General features: G+C 45.2%; 1 protein-coding gene across 2 annotated transcripts in view, besides 6 other annotated features; it reads left to right on the top strand.

Annotated features, from left to right (window-relative positions):
• Positions 144-273: a silencer, noted in NCBI's record as "silent region_6371". NCBI's record gives its function as "represses an Ori minimal core promoter by ATAC-STARR-seq in GM12878 lymphoblastoid cells {active_cell/tissue: GM12878}" and the evidence as "EXISTENCE:reporter gene assay evidence [ECO:0000049][PMID:35858748]".
• The window catches only part of EHD4 (EH domain containing 4), a 76,625-nt gene continuing 61,122 nt past the window's right edge, over positions 195-15,697 (top strand). The window contains exon 1 of one of the 2 annotated variants that reach the window (NM_139265.4): positions 195-493. In NM_139265.4, coding sequence (NP_644670.1) covers positions 258-493 — 236 coding nt within the window. In that variant the 5' untranslated portion in view covers positions 195-257. Of the gene's footprint in view, positions 494-6,636; positions 6,765-15,697 lie in introns of those variants that run through there. The other variant, XM_047432408.1, reaches the window with a different exon arrangement.
• Positions 314-383: a silencer, noted in NCBI's record as "silent region_6370". NCBI's record gives its function as "represses an Ori minimal core promoter by ATAC-STARR-seq in GM12878 lymphoblastoid cells {active_cell/tissue: GM12878}" and the evidence as "EXISTENCE:reporter gene assay evidence [ECO:0000049][PMID:35858748]".
• Positions 484-753: a silencer, noted in NCBI's record as "silent region_6369". NCBI's record gives its function as "represses an Ori minimal core promoter by ATAC-STARR-seq in GM12878 lymphoblastoid cells {active_cell/tissue: GM12878}" and the evidence as "EXISTENCE:reporter gene assay evidence [ECO:0000049][PMID:35858748]".
• Positions 2,516-2,735: an enhancer, noted in NCBI's record as "active region_9295". NCBI's record gives its function as "activates an Ori minimal core promoter by ATAC-STARR-seq in GM12878 lymphoblastoid cells {active_cell/tissue: GM12878}" and the evidence as "EXISTENCE:reporter gene assay evidence [ECO:0000049][PMID:35858748]".
• Positions 4,507-4,556: an enhancer, noted in NCBI's record as "active region_9294". NCBI's record gives its function as "activates an Ori minimal core promoter by ATAC-STARR-seq in GM12878 lymphoblastoid cells {active_cell/tissue: GM12878}" and the evidence as "EXISTENCE:reporter gene assay evidence [ECO:0000049][PMID:35858748]".
• Positions 15,359-15,478: an enhancer, noted in NCBI's record as "active region_9293". NCBI's record gives its function as "activates an Ori minimal core promoter by ATAC-STARR-seq in GM12878 lymphoblastoid cells {active_cell/tissue: GM12878}" and the evidence as "EXISTENCE:reporter gene assay evidence [ECO:0000049][PMID:35858748]".

Here is a 15,697-nt window from a genome sequence, read left to right as displayed (position 1 = left end):
CAATAATTCATTAAGAACCTCCTCTCAATTGGCTGACGCCTTCAGCCCTCTCTGGCAGAGATCCAATCAGGAAGGACCTGAGAGAGCTCGTCTGAATAGTGGGCGAGCGCGCGTGACGTAGCGGCCGAAGACTGGCTGTGGCAGCACAAGGCGGGGCCCTCCTCGGGCGGCGGCCAGCGCGGCCGGGGCGGCTCAGTGCGAGCCGGGGAGAGTCGAACCCGGAGCAGGGTCCCATCCGAGCGTGGACTGGCGGCAGGATGTTCAGCTGGATGGGGCGGCAGGCGGGCGGGCGCGAACGCGCTGGCGGCGCGGACGCGGTGCAGACGGTGACGGGCGGGCTGCGCTCGCTCTACCTGCGCAAGGTGCTGCCGCTGGAGGAGGCGTACCGCTTCCACGAGTTCCACTCGCCTGCGCTGGAGGACGCCGACTTCGAGAACAAGCCCATGATCCTGCTGGTGGGCCAGTACAGCACCGGCAAGACCACCTTCATCAGGTACCGTCACCGCCCCTCGCCCGGCTCCCGCCCCGCTCCGCCCTCCCCACGTGTGCGCCGCAGTCGGCCGCCTCCCGCCGCTGCCCCTCCCGGCCGGCGCGACCTCGGGGACCCCTCCCGGAGCTCGGCGCCCGGTGCCCTCGGCCCCGCCCCGGCTGGCCAGCCCCGCGCGCTGGAGGGTCCCGCGAACCCGCGCCCTGCGCACTCCGAGCCCTCCTTCCTTGCGGTTCGGAAGGCGTTGCTCCCGCTGGCCTCGTCCGGTCGCCCTGGCGGGAGGGTCCAAGGGAGAGAGGGGGCGCGAGCCATAATCAGCATATTCTTGACGAGGGAGTGATGCCTAGGGATGGAAATGGGGGGAGAGGCGTAGGGTATCCGAATGGGACAGAGTCCTAGTTGGAGAGTTTGTTTAACTATTCATTTGTTCAACTATTTCTTGAACAAATGAATGGCAGCAGGAGAGCGTATCGCCCAGGCCCCCTTCCCTTGAGGTCTTTACGTGCCACCCCACAGTGTTGTGGGGAGGGGATAAAGAGGCCGCCTACGTTCAGTTCATGCACCGCCTTTAGCCGCCCGTAGGAAGTGAGCTGCGTGTAGCAGCCGCACCAGCCTGTGGAACTAAGGGGGAGTGTCATATTACTATTTGTTAGTTTCCATTTCTTAGGTGGGTCATTCCCTCCTCGCTTACCCTTGACAACTGAAAATATTTGTCATGCTTACCGTGTTTCTGAAAGCACACAATCACTGTGCATACCCTGTGGTTCAAATCATATAGTTTCAAAAGAAGTGACTTTTGCTGGGAAATTATTTAGACAGAAACAGATTGCTTTGTTGATCACCTGTTTTATTTCTAAAGCAGCCAGCATATTTAGGCTCACTGTTTTTGGTAAGAAGAACTTATTTTTCTGACTTAAGCCGTGTATCAGTTGAAACAAAGTGCTGATCATTTAAGGTTTTGGTCCAGGGTTTTGGAAATTGTAACAATCTCTTCATCATTTGATGTGCAACAGGTGTTGAGAAAACTGCATCTATATTTGGATACATGCCATTTCTGTTAAGTAGCGACCTCTTTTTCTCCACTCCAGTGACCTAAATAGTTCCTACAAATAGAGTAGCTATCACTACAGGAAATATGTTAAATCCAGGCCTCCAGATACACTGCGAATGAATTCCACAAAACAAATATACTGTGTATTGAAATGTCGTTCTAGATAATAAATTGAGTGTGAAGAAAGTAATTTCAAAATTGCTTTATTTGGTGCTTATGGACAAGACAAAAATAGAATTAAATATGTCACCGTCACCCAGACACTCAAAATGAACCATAGCTGTATTACAGTAACTGGCACCTTGAAAGATGACAAATGTCACATTTAAGGTCTCAGTAATACTGTCTAGTTTTTAGGTACTAGGGATAATAAAGTGTTATGGCCAAGTGGTACAAGAGTGGGAAGCGGTACTGTTGAAACATACAAAGAAGAAAGGCATATATTTTTGTAATTTAGTGGTGGCATGTCCCCACACCCTAGGCATTTCCTCCTGTTTGTCTTTGCTGTGAGGTCCTTGTTGTGCCCAGGTGTCATCAGGGAGCCCCTGCTAGATGCTGTGCCAACCTGGAGATAATGCAGCCCTCTCTCTGCTCCCATAGACTGGATAGCTAGCCAGCCTGATTATCAACTCCCAGGAAGATGAATACAACTCACAGGAACATGAATTTATCTTTTGTATTTTTCCAGATTTCTCTCTCATTATATTCTCACTCTTCTCTCTGTTTCATTATTTGGAGAAATTTGTGGAATAGCTAAGCGCAGTTTTATGAAGGGTTCTGAGATTTGATTCCTGGCAGCTACCTCATCCAAATTGGCCACCTCTCAGCAGGTGCTGGAGCTGTGGGCCACCCTAGGGTGAGGGAGGAATCACCTTATTAGGAAGCCATTTGTTCTTGAGGCTTTCCTTGAGCTAAGTGGCTTTGTTGTTAGGTGATGTACACAAGGTAGACCAGTGAGGTTAGAAGAAAATCAGTGTGGGCAGGAAGCTTGGTGAGGCCACAGGAGACCTGAATTGCTTTTCAGATTGGAGCTAGGAGGAAGTGATTTAGCACCCGGGAGGAAATCCCCAAACAAAAGGGCAGCTACCCTGGAGACTTGTGAACTTGGAATTAAATATCACCCCAGACACTGTAAATGAACCATGGATTCATCTTGAGCGGAAGGGTTGGCCCAGGGTGCTGAGCATCCTGGATCCTGCCTTAGTTAGAGCCTGGTTAGTGGTCTGGGTTGTTTGCTTCTAGCGATTGGGCCCTAGAAGCTCATACTTGGCTGTGGGGTGTACCTAATCTACATAGCCATAGATTCTTATCTCCCTGGCTTCCTGCACATTCCAAGAGGTCACTGATGACACAGAACCTGTGCTGACATGGTGGGAATCTTCTCTTATTGCTGTTGGCTCTTCTGCCTTTGACTGGCAATAAAGAATTGGCCAGAGAAGGAGGGGAGATGGGCATGGGGGAAAGTGACCATGTCATCTTAGACTCTGTACTAGCCGAGGAAGGATGGATATGGAGCTCACCCAGGCTTGTGTCCAAAACTTGAGGAAAACAGATTTCAAAGATTCCTCCAGAAAATCCCTGGCCCCAGGTGCTGTGAAGGAAGACATTTCCACTGAAAAAGTATGAAGTCCATTTGAAATGAATGCAAACTACACAATTTTTTTTTTTTGAGACAGTTTCGCTGTTGTTGCCCAGGCTGGAGTGCCATGGCATGATCTCGGCTCACCGCAACCTCCCCCTCCCGGGTTCAAGCAATTCTTCTGTCTCAGCCTCCCGAGTAGCTGGGATTACAGGCATGTGCCACCACGCCTGGCTAATTTTGTATTTTTAGTAGAGATGGGGTTTTTCCATGTTGGTCAGGCTGGTCTCAAACTCCCGACCTCAGGTGATTTGCCCGCCTTGGCCTCCCAAAGTGCTGGGATTACAGGCGTGAGCCACCGCGCCCCATCCCAAACTACACATTTTTAAGAGCTCCACTTTCTCCCTTCATATGCTCTGTTCCCTCTCCCCAGAAAACTTATTCTAATGAGGAAAAAAGAGGGAAGTCACTCAAGAAACTATATAGGCTTTAAAAGGGTAGAGAGCAGGGAAATAAGGCAAGAAAAGAAATAAACTCCCAGACTGGAGAGAAAAAAGTAAAACTCTTTGCAGATGACATGATCTTCTATGTAGAGAATCCTAAGAAACCACTTAAAAACTATTAGAACAATGGGGGAAACTATAGTTCAACAAATGGTGCTAGGACAACTGGATAGCCGCATGCAAACGAAATAGAGAATGACTGTTAGTGGGCGTGGAGTTTCTCTTTGATGTGATGAAAATGTTCTGAAATTGGATAATGATATTGGTTGCACAACTTTGTGAATATACTAAAGGAGTGCACCCTGTAAAAGAATAAATTTTCTGGTATATGAATTATATCTCAATAAAAAACCAAAACAATTCAGTCTTTCAACACTAAGCATCATGTGATTTAATTTTCATGATTCTGCAACTAGCGCCAGCCAAGTAATTTCTGCATCTATGTGTAATAATTTAAAATAGAAATGGATGCCAGAAAGAAAACAAAGTAGAAATAAGCTAGAAGAACCCAAGGGCAAAGGAACTAAAGAGTAAAGATGAGGGGCCAGGTGCAGTGGCTCACACCTGTAATCCTAACACTTTGGGAGACTGAGGTAGGTGGATCGTTTGAGCTCAGGAGTTCAAGACCACCCTGGGCAACATAGTGAGACCCCATCTCTACAAAAAAAAAAAAAAAAAGGAGTAAAGATGAGGGAAAAGGGAGTGAAAGTAGCCATCCCACAATCCCTGTATGAGTATTCTTGTCAATGTATAAACATGTTCATTGTTCATAACACTCAAGTTGGTAAAATCAAAGTATGATAAAAATTTTTAATAAAATGCTTGATACCGTAATTGTGTTTAAAAACTTTAGATATTAACATTTAACTATAGTATTTAATAGGGGAAAAAAGGGGCAGGGGTGCATGTGCAAGGGTGCAGACAAGGTTTATGGGCGGTATGAAGGATCAAGAAGCTGGAGTGGGCTGAGAAGGTAAAAGTGCCTTGGACATTAAAAAAGCCTTTTAAGGTATGATTAGAACAAGAACAAGAATCAGGAAGTGATCGGCCCACTCATGGGCTCTTGCTGCAATATTAACAGAAAGCAGAACTACTCAGCTTCCTCCTTTTCCTCAAAGAAAATGCCCCAGAGATGGCAGAAGGGAGCCCAGCTGTGTTCAAGAGGGGATTAAAACCACAGGCTGAGGAGCTCTCCCAGGGCCTGCCACAGGCGAGGTTCAGGAAATCTCTGGCCGGACACATGGATGAAAGAACTTGCATTTCTGCTCAAAGAACTGTATTTGGTGGCTTTTAAGAAATTGTGAAGAATATGAAAAGTATTGGAACACTGGAAGCAGGCAGATGTTCTCATTTTCAAAAAAGCAGGGAAATGGATTCTGAATAGGAACAAAGGCCTGCTTCATTCCCTTGATAAGTTTCTAGACTCAGTAATTAAGGAAAAGGGAAGTGAAGGCATTCACTAATAGGCAGCCTGGTTCATCTATTTTTAAAAAAATAAAATCTCACACAGAAAAACTATGGGTCCTATTTAGTGGTTCTCACACTCATCCAGATACTGGGGCTCCTGAAAATCAATCTTCTGTTCCAAATATTATACCCTTTACAGATCTCTCTAAAATATTGAGATATTTAATTTTTACAGAAAATTAGACTATATTTTCAATATACAATATAAGATCACACCTACAGATGCTAGTGTTCATTTATTCAAATGATCTTGATTTCAGGGTTGGGGCCAGCCATCACAGAAGAGAGTCAACAGGCCACAGCTCTGAGTGACAAGGGCTGTAACACTAGAAACACAGGGTGGCTGGGGGCATAGGAGGGACCCCCTCATTCAGGCTTGCGGGTTGGAAAAGGCTGCCTCCCTGAGAATGCAGCCTAAAAGCTGAGCCCTGAGGAATGAGCAGAGAATTAGCTGCCCAAAGAGGGCCAGGGAGTGAGGGTGGGGAGGTGTCACCCATGAGGCCTCGGTTTCTGGGGTAACTGGGGAGTACAGCTGTTCACTGAGATGGGGATCCAAGAAGAGGAAGGATGGGGCATAATGATAAGTTTAGATTTAGACCTGTCATGTTTGAGTGGACACCAAGGTGGCGATGTCCATGAGGGGTAAGACATGGGTCTGGAGCTCAGGGAGATATCTGGGCTGGTCTGTTGACTTGGGAGTGTCAGCATTTAGTAGCCAGCATCTGGGAAGTAGAAGTCCTTGCACAGGACTCTTAAGTGAGAGGAAGCAGAGCTTGTGGAGACCCTCCGGGGAAAGTACCAAAGAGGTGGGTAATTGCCTGGGAGGGTAGTGGCTCAGTGCTGTCTCAGATCTCTTTAGGTTGCAAGTGACAGAAATCCAACCAAAGCTAGCTTAGATAAAAAGATAAGAACGTTTTCCTGAAACCCATCAGACCAGGATGTGCAAGCTTCAGGCTTGGCCCAGGACTGCAGGAGACACACCAGGACTCTGTTGGCTCTGTGGCCCTCCTCATGTTGTGTTCCTTCTCAGGGGTGGGCAGGCGGCCACCTCCATTTCCAGCCTCGAATTCTGCTGGCTCAGCAGCCCCAGTAAAAGTCTCAGGCTTGAGTCTCATTGGTTTGACCCTGACCATATGCCCATCCCTGAACCAATCCTTAGGGGCAGGGGCATGAAATGTGGGGAGTGGGGAGGTCAGCCCCACCAACCACGTGGCCTGAGAGCTGGGGAAGGCAGCTCCTGAGGATGCTGCTACCAAGAAAAGGGGATACGAGGCAAGTAAAGCAACGATGACCCCCACAAAAGCCAGGGAGAGAGGTGGTGGTCAGTAGTGTCAGATGCTTCCAGGAAAAGGACTGAAACAGAACCAGTAGATTAGCCTTTGGGAGCCAGGTGACCTTGCCAAGAGGTGTGCCTGTGAGTGGTGGTGAAGGAAGCCAGATGGCGCGGGTTGAGGAATGAGTGGGATGTGAGGCGTCAAATTCTCAGCAGCTAGGCCTGGGGGAAGGAGGCCTGGCCACAAGCATCACAGGGGTTTGGGTAAAGACAAGCACAACCTCAGCAGAATGAAAAGTGGACAGAAGGGAAGCCATGGAGAGGGAGCAGCTGGCATCTCAGAAGACAAAGAGGAGGCAAGACTTGGAGCAAAAGTCCTGAAGAGCAGGGCAAGGAGCTGCAGGGTAGGCGGGGCTGGGTGGGGTGGTGGGGGTAGGCAGGAGGTGAGTAGGTGGGGCGGGGGGTGGGCAGGGGAGCGCTGGCAGCTGCAGTCCGAGCAGGGAAGCGCTGCAGGCCAGCAGCTGGGCCAGTTGTCACATCATCCACCTGACAAGCAGCAACAGAGTATTTGGAGAAATGTAGGAGGGGGAAGGCTTTTTCCATCCTGACATTATCTTCCCTAACTCACATTCAGAAGCTGACTTACAAAAGGTGTTCAATGTCCTTTTCAAAACCTCGAACCAGAAGGCCGTGGTTCCTTCTGCACGTGGCTGTGCATCAGAATCACTTGGAGGCCTTTTGACACGGATTCCAGGGCCCCACCTCAGACCTCCTGAGTCGAAATCTCTGTGGGTCAGGCTCCAAAATCTGTTTTTGTTTTTCTAAACCATCTCTCACAGTAATTCTTATGTGCCCTCCCCTAGGAAACATTTGGGAACCATTGCCAGATGAAGGTTCAGTTAATGGAGGAATGGAAGAGGGCTAGCCTCAACCCAGAAAAGGGAGGCTGACTTTGCTGAACCTTCCATCCGTTCCAAACCCCATCTGTTCACATTTCTCTCAGTGACTTAGATGAAGACATAGAATTCATGCTTACAAAACTGAGGATTGTGTAAATATAATTTAATAAATGGGGTTCTTTTTTGCTTAATATGATACGATGAGCATTTTCTTATGTCATTATATAGTCTTCAAAAATAACTTCAATGACTACATCATAATCTATAGTACAGGTTGGACATTTAGGTTGTTTCTGTTTTTATGCTGTTATACATAATGTTGCAATGAACTGAACATTTTTGGCCATAAATCTTTGTATTTCTAGTTTTTTTCTTAGAATAGCCTAAGCATAAATTAGTGCCTCAAAAAATATAGATAATAGGCTGGGCGCAGCAGCTCACACCTGTAATCCCAGCACTTTGGGAGGCCAAGGTGGACAAATCACTTGACTCCAGGAGTTCAAGATCAGCCTGGGCAACATGGTGAGCCCCATCTCTAAAAAAAAATACAAAAATTAGCCGGACATGGTGGTGCATGCCTGTAGTCCCAGTTACCTGGGAGGCTGAGGTGGGAGGATCACTTGAGCCCAGGTGGTCGAGGCTGCAGTAAGCTGAGATTGCACCACTGAACTCCAGTCTGGGCAACTGAGTGAGGCCTTGTCTCAAAATATATATATATATTTTTTTTTTTTTTCAGGCTTATATATATTCCTAAATCTATGTATCTATCTTTCTTTTTTAGGACAGTTATTCCAAATTAGACTCCCACCAGAAATATGAGGATCAGTAATTCACCAAACTGCCAGTAAAACTAATTAAAATTAATTTGATAGGAAAAAAAAGTGTTTTAGATAGGGTCTTGCTCTGTTGCCCAGGCTGGAGTACAGTGATGCCATCATAGCTCACTGCAGCCTCAAACTCCTGGGCTCAAGCAATCCTCCCACCTCAGCCTCTGGAGTAGCTGGGACTACAGGTACATTGCACCACCACACCCAGCCAATTTATTCATTTTTTGTAGAGTTGGGATCTCGCTGTGCTGTCTAGGCTGGTCTCAAACTCCTGAGCTCAAGCGATCCTCACGCCTTGGCCTCCCAAAGTCCAAAGTGCTGGGATTATAGGCGTGAGCCATGGGGCACTCAGCCAGAACAGACTTATTTTAATTTGTTTATTTCTTACTAGTGACGTTGAACTTATAAAATATAGTTGTCTTCCATATTACTTTGTGAATTGTCTGAATTGTCTGTGAACTTTGTCCAATTTTCATTTGAAGTGTTGGTCTTGTCCTTTTTTTTTTTTTTTTTTTTTTTTTGAGATGGAGTCTCACTCTGTCACCCAGGCTGGAGTGCAGTGGCGCGATCTCAGCTCACTGCAAGCTCTGCCTCCCAGGTTCACGCCATTCTCCTGCCTCAGCCTCTGGAGTAGCTGGGACTACAGGCGCCCACCACCACTCCCGGCTAATTTTTTGCATTTTTAGAAGAGACGGGGTTTCACTGTATTAGCCAGGATGGTCTCGATCTCCTGACTTCATGATCCACCTGCCTCGGCCTCCCAAAATGCTGGGATTATAGGCATGAGCCACCGAGCCTGGCCCTGGTCTTGTTCTTATAAATAAATGTAAATGTTTTTCTCAGTAACAGATATCAATCCTTTGTCACAGTTGTAAAAGTGTTTTTCCAGTTTGAAATTTGCCTTGTAATTTTTGTAATAGTTTTTCCATGCAGATATATTTAATATTTGTGATCAAATCTAACAATTTTTCCTTTTTTATAATATCTTTTATTTTTTGGTTAGAAAATCCTTGTTTATCTTAAGACTCAGGAAATGTTCACTCATATTCTTTTTTTTTTTTTTTTTGAAACAGACTCTCACTCTGTCCACCCACACTGGAGTGCAGTAGCACGTTCTCGGCTCACTGCAACCTCCACCTTCCAGTTCAAGCGGTTCTTGTGCCTCAACCTCCCAAGTAGCTGGGATTACAGGCATGGGCCACCATGCCTGGCTAATTTTTGTATTTTTTAGTAGAGACAAGGTTTTGCCATGTTAACCAGGCTGGTCTCGAACACCTGACCTCAAGTGATCTGCCTGTCTCGGCCTCCCAAAGGGCTGGGATTACAGGCGTGAGCCACCGTGCCCTGCCTCTTTTTTTTTTTTTTTTTTAGTATTTATTGATCATTCTTGGGTGTTTCTCCGAGGGGGGGATTTGGCAGGGTCATAGGACAATAGTGGAGGGAAGGTCAGCAGATAAACATGTGAACAAGGGTCTCTGGTTTTCCTAGGCAGAGGACCCTGCGGCCTTCCGCAGTGTTTGTGTCCCTGGGTACTTGAGATTAGGGAGTGGTGATGACTCTTAAGGAGTATGCTGCCTTCAGGCATCTGTTTAACAAAGCACATCTTGCACTGCCCTTAATCCATTTAACCCTGAGTGGACACAGCACATGTTTCAGAGAGCACGGGGTTGGGGGTAAAGTCATAGATTAACAGCATCCCAAGGCAGAAGAATTTTTCTTAGTACAGAACAAAATGCAGTCTCCTATGTCTACTTCTTTCTACACAGACACAGTAACAATCTGATCTCTCTTTCTTTTCCCCACATTTCCCCCTTTTCTATTCGACAAAACCGCCATCCTCATCATGGCCCGTTCTCAATGAGCTGTTGGGTACACCTCCCAGACAGGGTGGCGGCCGGGCAGAGGGGCTCCTCACTTCCCAGACAGGGTGGCTGGGCAGAGGCGCCCCCCACCTCCCAGACGGGGCGGCGGCCGGGTGGGGGCTGCCCCCCGCCTCCCTCCCGGACGGGGCGGCTGGCCGGGCGCTCTTTTTAAAATAGGATTACTTTTTAAATATTTAACTTTTTAACCCACCTGGAAGTAAAATCTGTCTCAATTATATTGTTGTGGGTTTTTTTTTTTTTGTCTTTTGTCATTTTCTAACACTATTATTAAATCTACCTTTTTCTGCTGTCACATGAGGCTTCCTCATACGCTAAGTTATTAAATACTATATTGAGTCTGTTAGGACCTTTGTCTCGTGTTATTCTGTTTGTAAATTCTTATGCCAACACCATACCATCTTAAATATTGTCACTTTGAAATACTTTTTAATAATTTTAGCTCAAGACTCTTCTGCGTGCATTACTCTTTATTTTTCAAATGCTATCAATTCTCATTTTCTGTCATTCTTTGAGAAGAACTTTCTTAGTTAGGTTCTTCAAAACAAACAAAAAAAAATCCCACTGGGATCCATTTGTCCTGGAACTGCATTCTGTCTCTAAGTTACATTTTTGTATTTGCTCTTCCCAAGCAGCAGCTCACCATTGCTTTAACGCAGACCTTCTTGGAAAAGTGATTGATTTACTCATACAGGTCCTATGGAGCTCTTATTAATGTATTAGGTATTTTATGCCCTGTTGCTCTTATGAATGGGCTTTTTATTTCTCTTATTTTTTTTGGCAGGGTATTGCTGATATGTAAGGAAGCTACTGAGTTGTACATTTTTGTTTTATATCTGGTCATTTGACTCAAGAAGTTATTCTGACAGCTTGTCAGTAGATTCTCTTAGGTTTTCTAGATAGATAACTGTATCAGTTACCTTCATGATTACTTTGTCTCCCCTTCTGTTCCATATTTCATAATACCAGGAAGTAGGCATTCATATCAAGCTTCTAATCTTAATGGTATTGCCTATGTTATTTCACCTTAAGAGATTATGTCAGCTGGTGGCTTCTTATCTATAAATTAATTGCATTAAGAAATTATCTATTACTAGTTTTAAAAGGATTTCATTTAAATGATTCTATTTGGAGAAAAAAACAAAATGGATATGGAGTTTGTTAGATGCCTTTTAGCCTTTTCCTTTAACCTATGTTCTGTGGAATGCAGTTGTGGGAGATCATTCGTAAGTGTTCAAAGAAAATAAAAGGGTTCCATAGTCAAGTAACTTTGGGATATGCTGTGTTCCATAACCTCCTCATGACGATTTACAGTACTCCCAGATCAAAGAGTTTACAACCTAAAGTCTGTTGTCATACTCCTAAATTACAAGTTACAACATCAAAAACACTCAATAAATAGTCATTGCATGACTGAAAGACTGGAAGAACAAATAGAACTGTAAGAAACTGATTTGATTCTAGTGAAATTCCCCTCCCTTTCTTTCACCCTCCTCCCAAAACAGCATGGAAGGTGGAGTGGAGCAACTTACAGGTAATGGCAGTGGGTAGACAGCAGTGTGCTTTCAAGCACATCTCAGCCCTGAGGAGTATAAATCCCATCCATAGCTGGAAAAATAGCCTGAGATACGAAAAGTTTTACCCAGCAAATTCCAGTTTATTGGTTCAATGACCTAATGTCCATTCCCTTAGTAGGCACAGCAGTTTCAAAGGTGACATCATCTGAACAAACAGTCCTGGTGATAACATGTCAATGATTTAACTAAAGGAAAAATGAAAATAAAACTTAGTTTTCACATTTAAAATGTAAGTGAGGCTGGCGCGGTGGCTCACACCTCTAATCCCAGCATTTTGGAAGGCTGAGGCGGGCAGATCACCTGAGGTCAGGAGTTTGAGACCAGCCTGGACAACATGGTAAAACCCCGTCTCTACTAAAAATACAAAAATTAGCCCAGTGTGTGGCGGACGCCTGTAATCCCAGCTACTTGGGAGGCTGAGGCAGGAGAATCACTTGAACCCAGGAGGCAGAGGTTGCAGTGAGCTGAGATCATGCCACTGCACTCCAGCCTGGGTGACAAAGCAAGACTCCATCTCAAAAAAAAAAAAAAAAAAAAATGTAAGTGAAGATCAGCCTAACTTAGTTTTTCAGTAATTCAAAGGAGACTTTTTTAAGTAGATGAGATGTTTGTTCAGGGATGTTTATCTCAGCATTATTTATAACAGCAAAAAATAGAAAGCTATTTAAATGCCTAACAGGAAATGACAAAATAAATTGATACATATTCAACTTAGAATAGTATGCAGCCATTAAAAATCATGTTTTCAAAGAATTTTTAATGGTATGAGGAAAGACTAATGGTGAAAAATCAAGATGCAAAATTGTTTAACTTTTATCTCAATTTTATAAAGGAAAATTACATTTACTGAAAAATGATGGGATGGAAATACATCAAAATGTTAAAAGTAGTCATTACCCAGTATTAATGTGGTCTCCTGTAAGCTATTTAACTTGGCATAAGCAGTTTTCTCCTCTATAAACTAGGAATAAAAATACCTGCTCCCATGGCAGTGAGGATGAAATAAGCTGAATGTGTGAAATGCATTATAAACTGTACAGTACGGCTTCAGAGTAACCTGTCATTTGTTAGTATCTAGAAGCAGTGATAGTGCAGGTCATACTGTTTTGCTAGGAAATATTTATATATCTTGGCCTATCTTGTAAGACTTTGGAAGTAATAAATGCTTGATTCTCCCACTTACTTTTCCTGGTGTGAAACACAAGGATAGATTAAACAATAGAAACTGCTTTTTTTTTTTTTTTTTTGAGGTGGAGTCTCACCCAGTCTGGAATGCAGTGGTGCAATTTTGGCTCACTGCAACCTCCGCCTCCCAGGTTCAAGCAATTCTCCTGCCTCATCCTCCCGAGTAGCTGGGATTACAGGTGCGCACCACCACGCCCGGCTAATTTTTGTGCTTTTAGTAGAGACGGGGTTTCACCGTGTTTGCCACAGGGTGGCCTTGAACTCCTGACCTCACATGATCCATCCACCTCAGCCTCTCAAAGTGCTGGGATTACAGGTGTGAGCCACCGTGCCCGGCCAGAAACTGCTCTTAAAACATCTTTCCAGGCTCAAATCAAATCAGAGTAGAAGTAGTAACTCTTCCTTTTCATCCCTCTCCTAGTGAAATAGTGGATCAAGTAAGTATTCTGAAGAAAAATATATTACATGAAACTTTCCAAAACTTATTTTAAAAATGTTTCAGGCAATAGCAATGAATTGAACCCCCAAACTCCATGCACAGATGCCAAGGTATGCACGAACATATTTTAAGATCTCGTTTATCATCACACAAACCATTTCTTTTTTTTTTTTTTTTTTTTTTTTTTTTGAGACAAAGTCTTGCTCTGTCACCCAGGCTGGAGTGCAGTGGCACGATCTCGGCTCACTGCAAGCTCAGCCTCCCGGGTTCACGCCATTCTCCTGCCTCAGCCTCCCGAGTAGCTGGGACTACAGGCGCCCGCCACCATGCCTGGCTAATTTTATTTTTGTATTTTTAGTAGAGACGGGGTTTCACCGTGTTAGCCAGGATGGTCTCGATCTCCTGACCTCGTGATCCGCCCACCTCGGCCTCCCAAAGTGCTGGGATTACAGGCGTGAGCCACCACGCCCAGCCCACACAAACCATTTCTTTAGATTTGGCTTGATAATTTAAAAATAATGCTCATACAACACTCAAAATATATGTGCCGTATTATTTTTAAAATCTTACATTTGTGTATTTGTTATGATTCACAGGACACGTTCCTGTAAACATTCCCAGTGGAACCCGTCGGCCTCTCAGGCTCTGATTTAGGGTGGGTGGTGTCCTCATAAGACTAGTAAGAAATCCTTCATCTTAATAAACCGCTTAACCCATTTGAGCCTTAGTTTCCTCATCTGTAAAATAGGGATAGAAATAGTACCTGCCCATAAGGTAGTTAGGATGAAATGAGACTATTCATGTAAAGACTTTAGCACATAACGAGTCCTCAAGCGTTAGGTATATTTATTTAAAGTGTAATGCTTTGCCCACTACTCCAGCATTTGTTTGAATAATGTGCCACTTAGATTTGTTTGGTTTTTATTCATTCTTAAGCTCATCGTTGAGAAGATGGTGCTTGGACATATTGAGAGTATCTCTGTTTTCAATATCTTGAGAGTTTTTTTTCTTCCCCTTGTCATAAATGACATTCACTTCTATGAAGTGAAAAAAAAAATTCTAGCCTAAGCAATGAAAAAAAGAAGACACCATCCATATATACTCTTGCATCAAAGTAGCTCTGTGAGCTTGGGCTGAATGCTGGCAACCGGGGTACCCCAGAGCCACTTGGATGAGTCTGAACTGGGGACCTCATCGGACCAGGACAAGGGGATGTCAGGTCTCCCATCCATCCCACCATCCCTTCCGCCCAGCTGCTTGGAATCCAAATGTCCATACCTTTTTATGTGGCTGGCTTGGCTCGAGAACCTTGGAGCAATCATTGCTGGAATTGGCAGGCCTCTCCGAGAACACAGGAAAGGGGGAGCAAAGTGGAGCCAAGGACAAAAATCAAGTCTCCAAAGCACAGGATGCCTGTGGAGGGGCTAATCAGCTCTGAATCACGGTGGTCTTCCTGTGTCCTCTTGTTCCTTTGAATTGTTGTTATTGCAGATAATACTAGAGTCCCTGAAACTCGTAGCTTTGGGAAAGCCTCTGAGGCACTCCCACCGTGAGAAATGTCTAACACAGTTGATCAGGCTGTCTATCCCGTGTGGCTGTGTGATTGACCCATTTATGCACATTGCACCTCAGCATCAGCTCAGACTCTTCCCTTCCAGCTTGCTGTGTGTGGATCCATCACTTCATTCTCCCTTTTTCCATGTCAGATACTTGGTGTCTTGGTTGTTCCGAGTTCCCTCACTGCACTGACATGTACCTGTTTACCCAGCAGTGTAACAGATGAATCTGAGTTTCTGCAGTCCCCCAGTGAAAAATCTTCTTCAGGGCAATCAGCTTAGAGTGTCATATGTAAAGTCAGGGATCTGCCAGGTCCTGCTTAGAGCACCAGGGAGCTGGGGGCAGTGTAGGACCCCAGGGTGATGGTGCTGTGCCTGGTGTAAGAGCAGAAGTCTGGGGCCAGGAGAAAGGGGCTGCAGGTTCTGGATCCTGCATGGCCACCCTGTGAGTTTGACCAGCAACAAGCCATGTTCCTGCACTAACCCTCAGTCTTGTCGCTTGTAAAGATAAGAGGCTGACTCAAATCATTCCTACCAGACTCCAGGTTTCTAAAGTACTGAGTATATAGACCATGCCCTGCAGGAAATGACAGCCCAAGAGAGGAGAGGAAACAGGCCCTCAAATAACACCAGCACGAGCTGTTAGAGGTCAACTCCGCAAAATCCCCATTTGAGTTTATTTTTTCTTTATTTATTTAGAGACAGGGTCTCACTCTGTCACCTAGGCTGGAGTGCAGTGACATGGTCACAGCTCACTGCAGCTTCAACCTCCCTGGGCTCAAGCGACCATCCCACCCCAGCCTCTTAAGTAGCTGGGACTACAGATGCACGCCACCACACCTGGCTAATTTTTGTATGTTTTGTAGAGACGGGGTTTCTCCATGTTGCCCAGGCTAGTCTCGAACTCCTAGGCCAAGCGATCCTCCCACTGCGGCCTCCCAAAATGCTGGAATTACAGGCACGAGCCACCGCTC

The sequence above is a fragment of the Homo sapiens genome, chromosome 15 (genome assembly GCF_000001405.40).
Source record: "Homo sapiens chromosome 15, GRCh38.p14 Primary Assembly".
Taxonomy (NCBI): Eukaryota; Metazoa; Chordata; class Mammalia; order Primates; family Hominidae; genus Homo; species Homo sapiens.
Note: the sequence above shows the minus strand (reverse complement) of the source record. Positions and strands in the feature narration are given on the sequence as shown.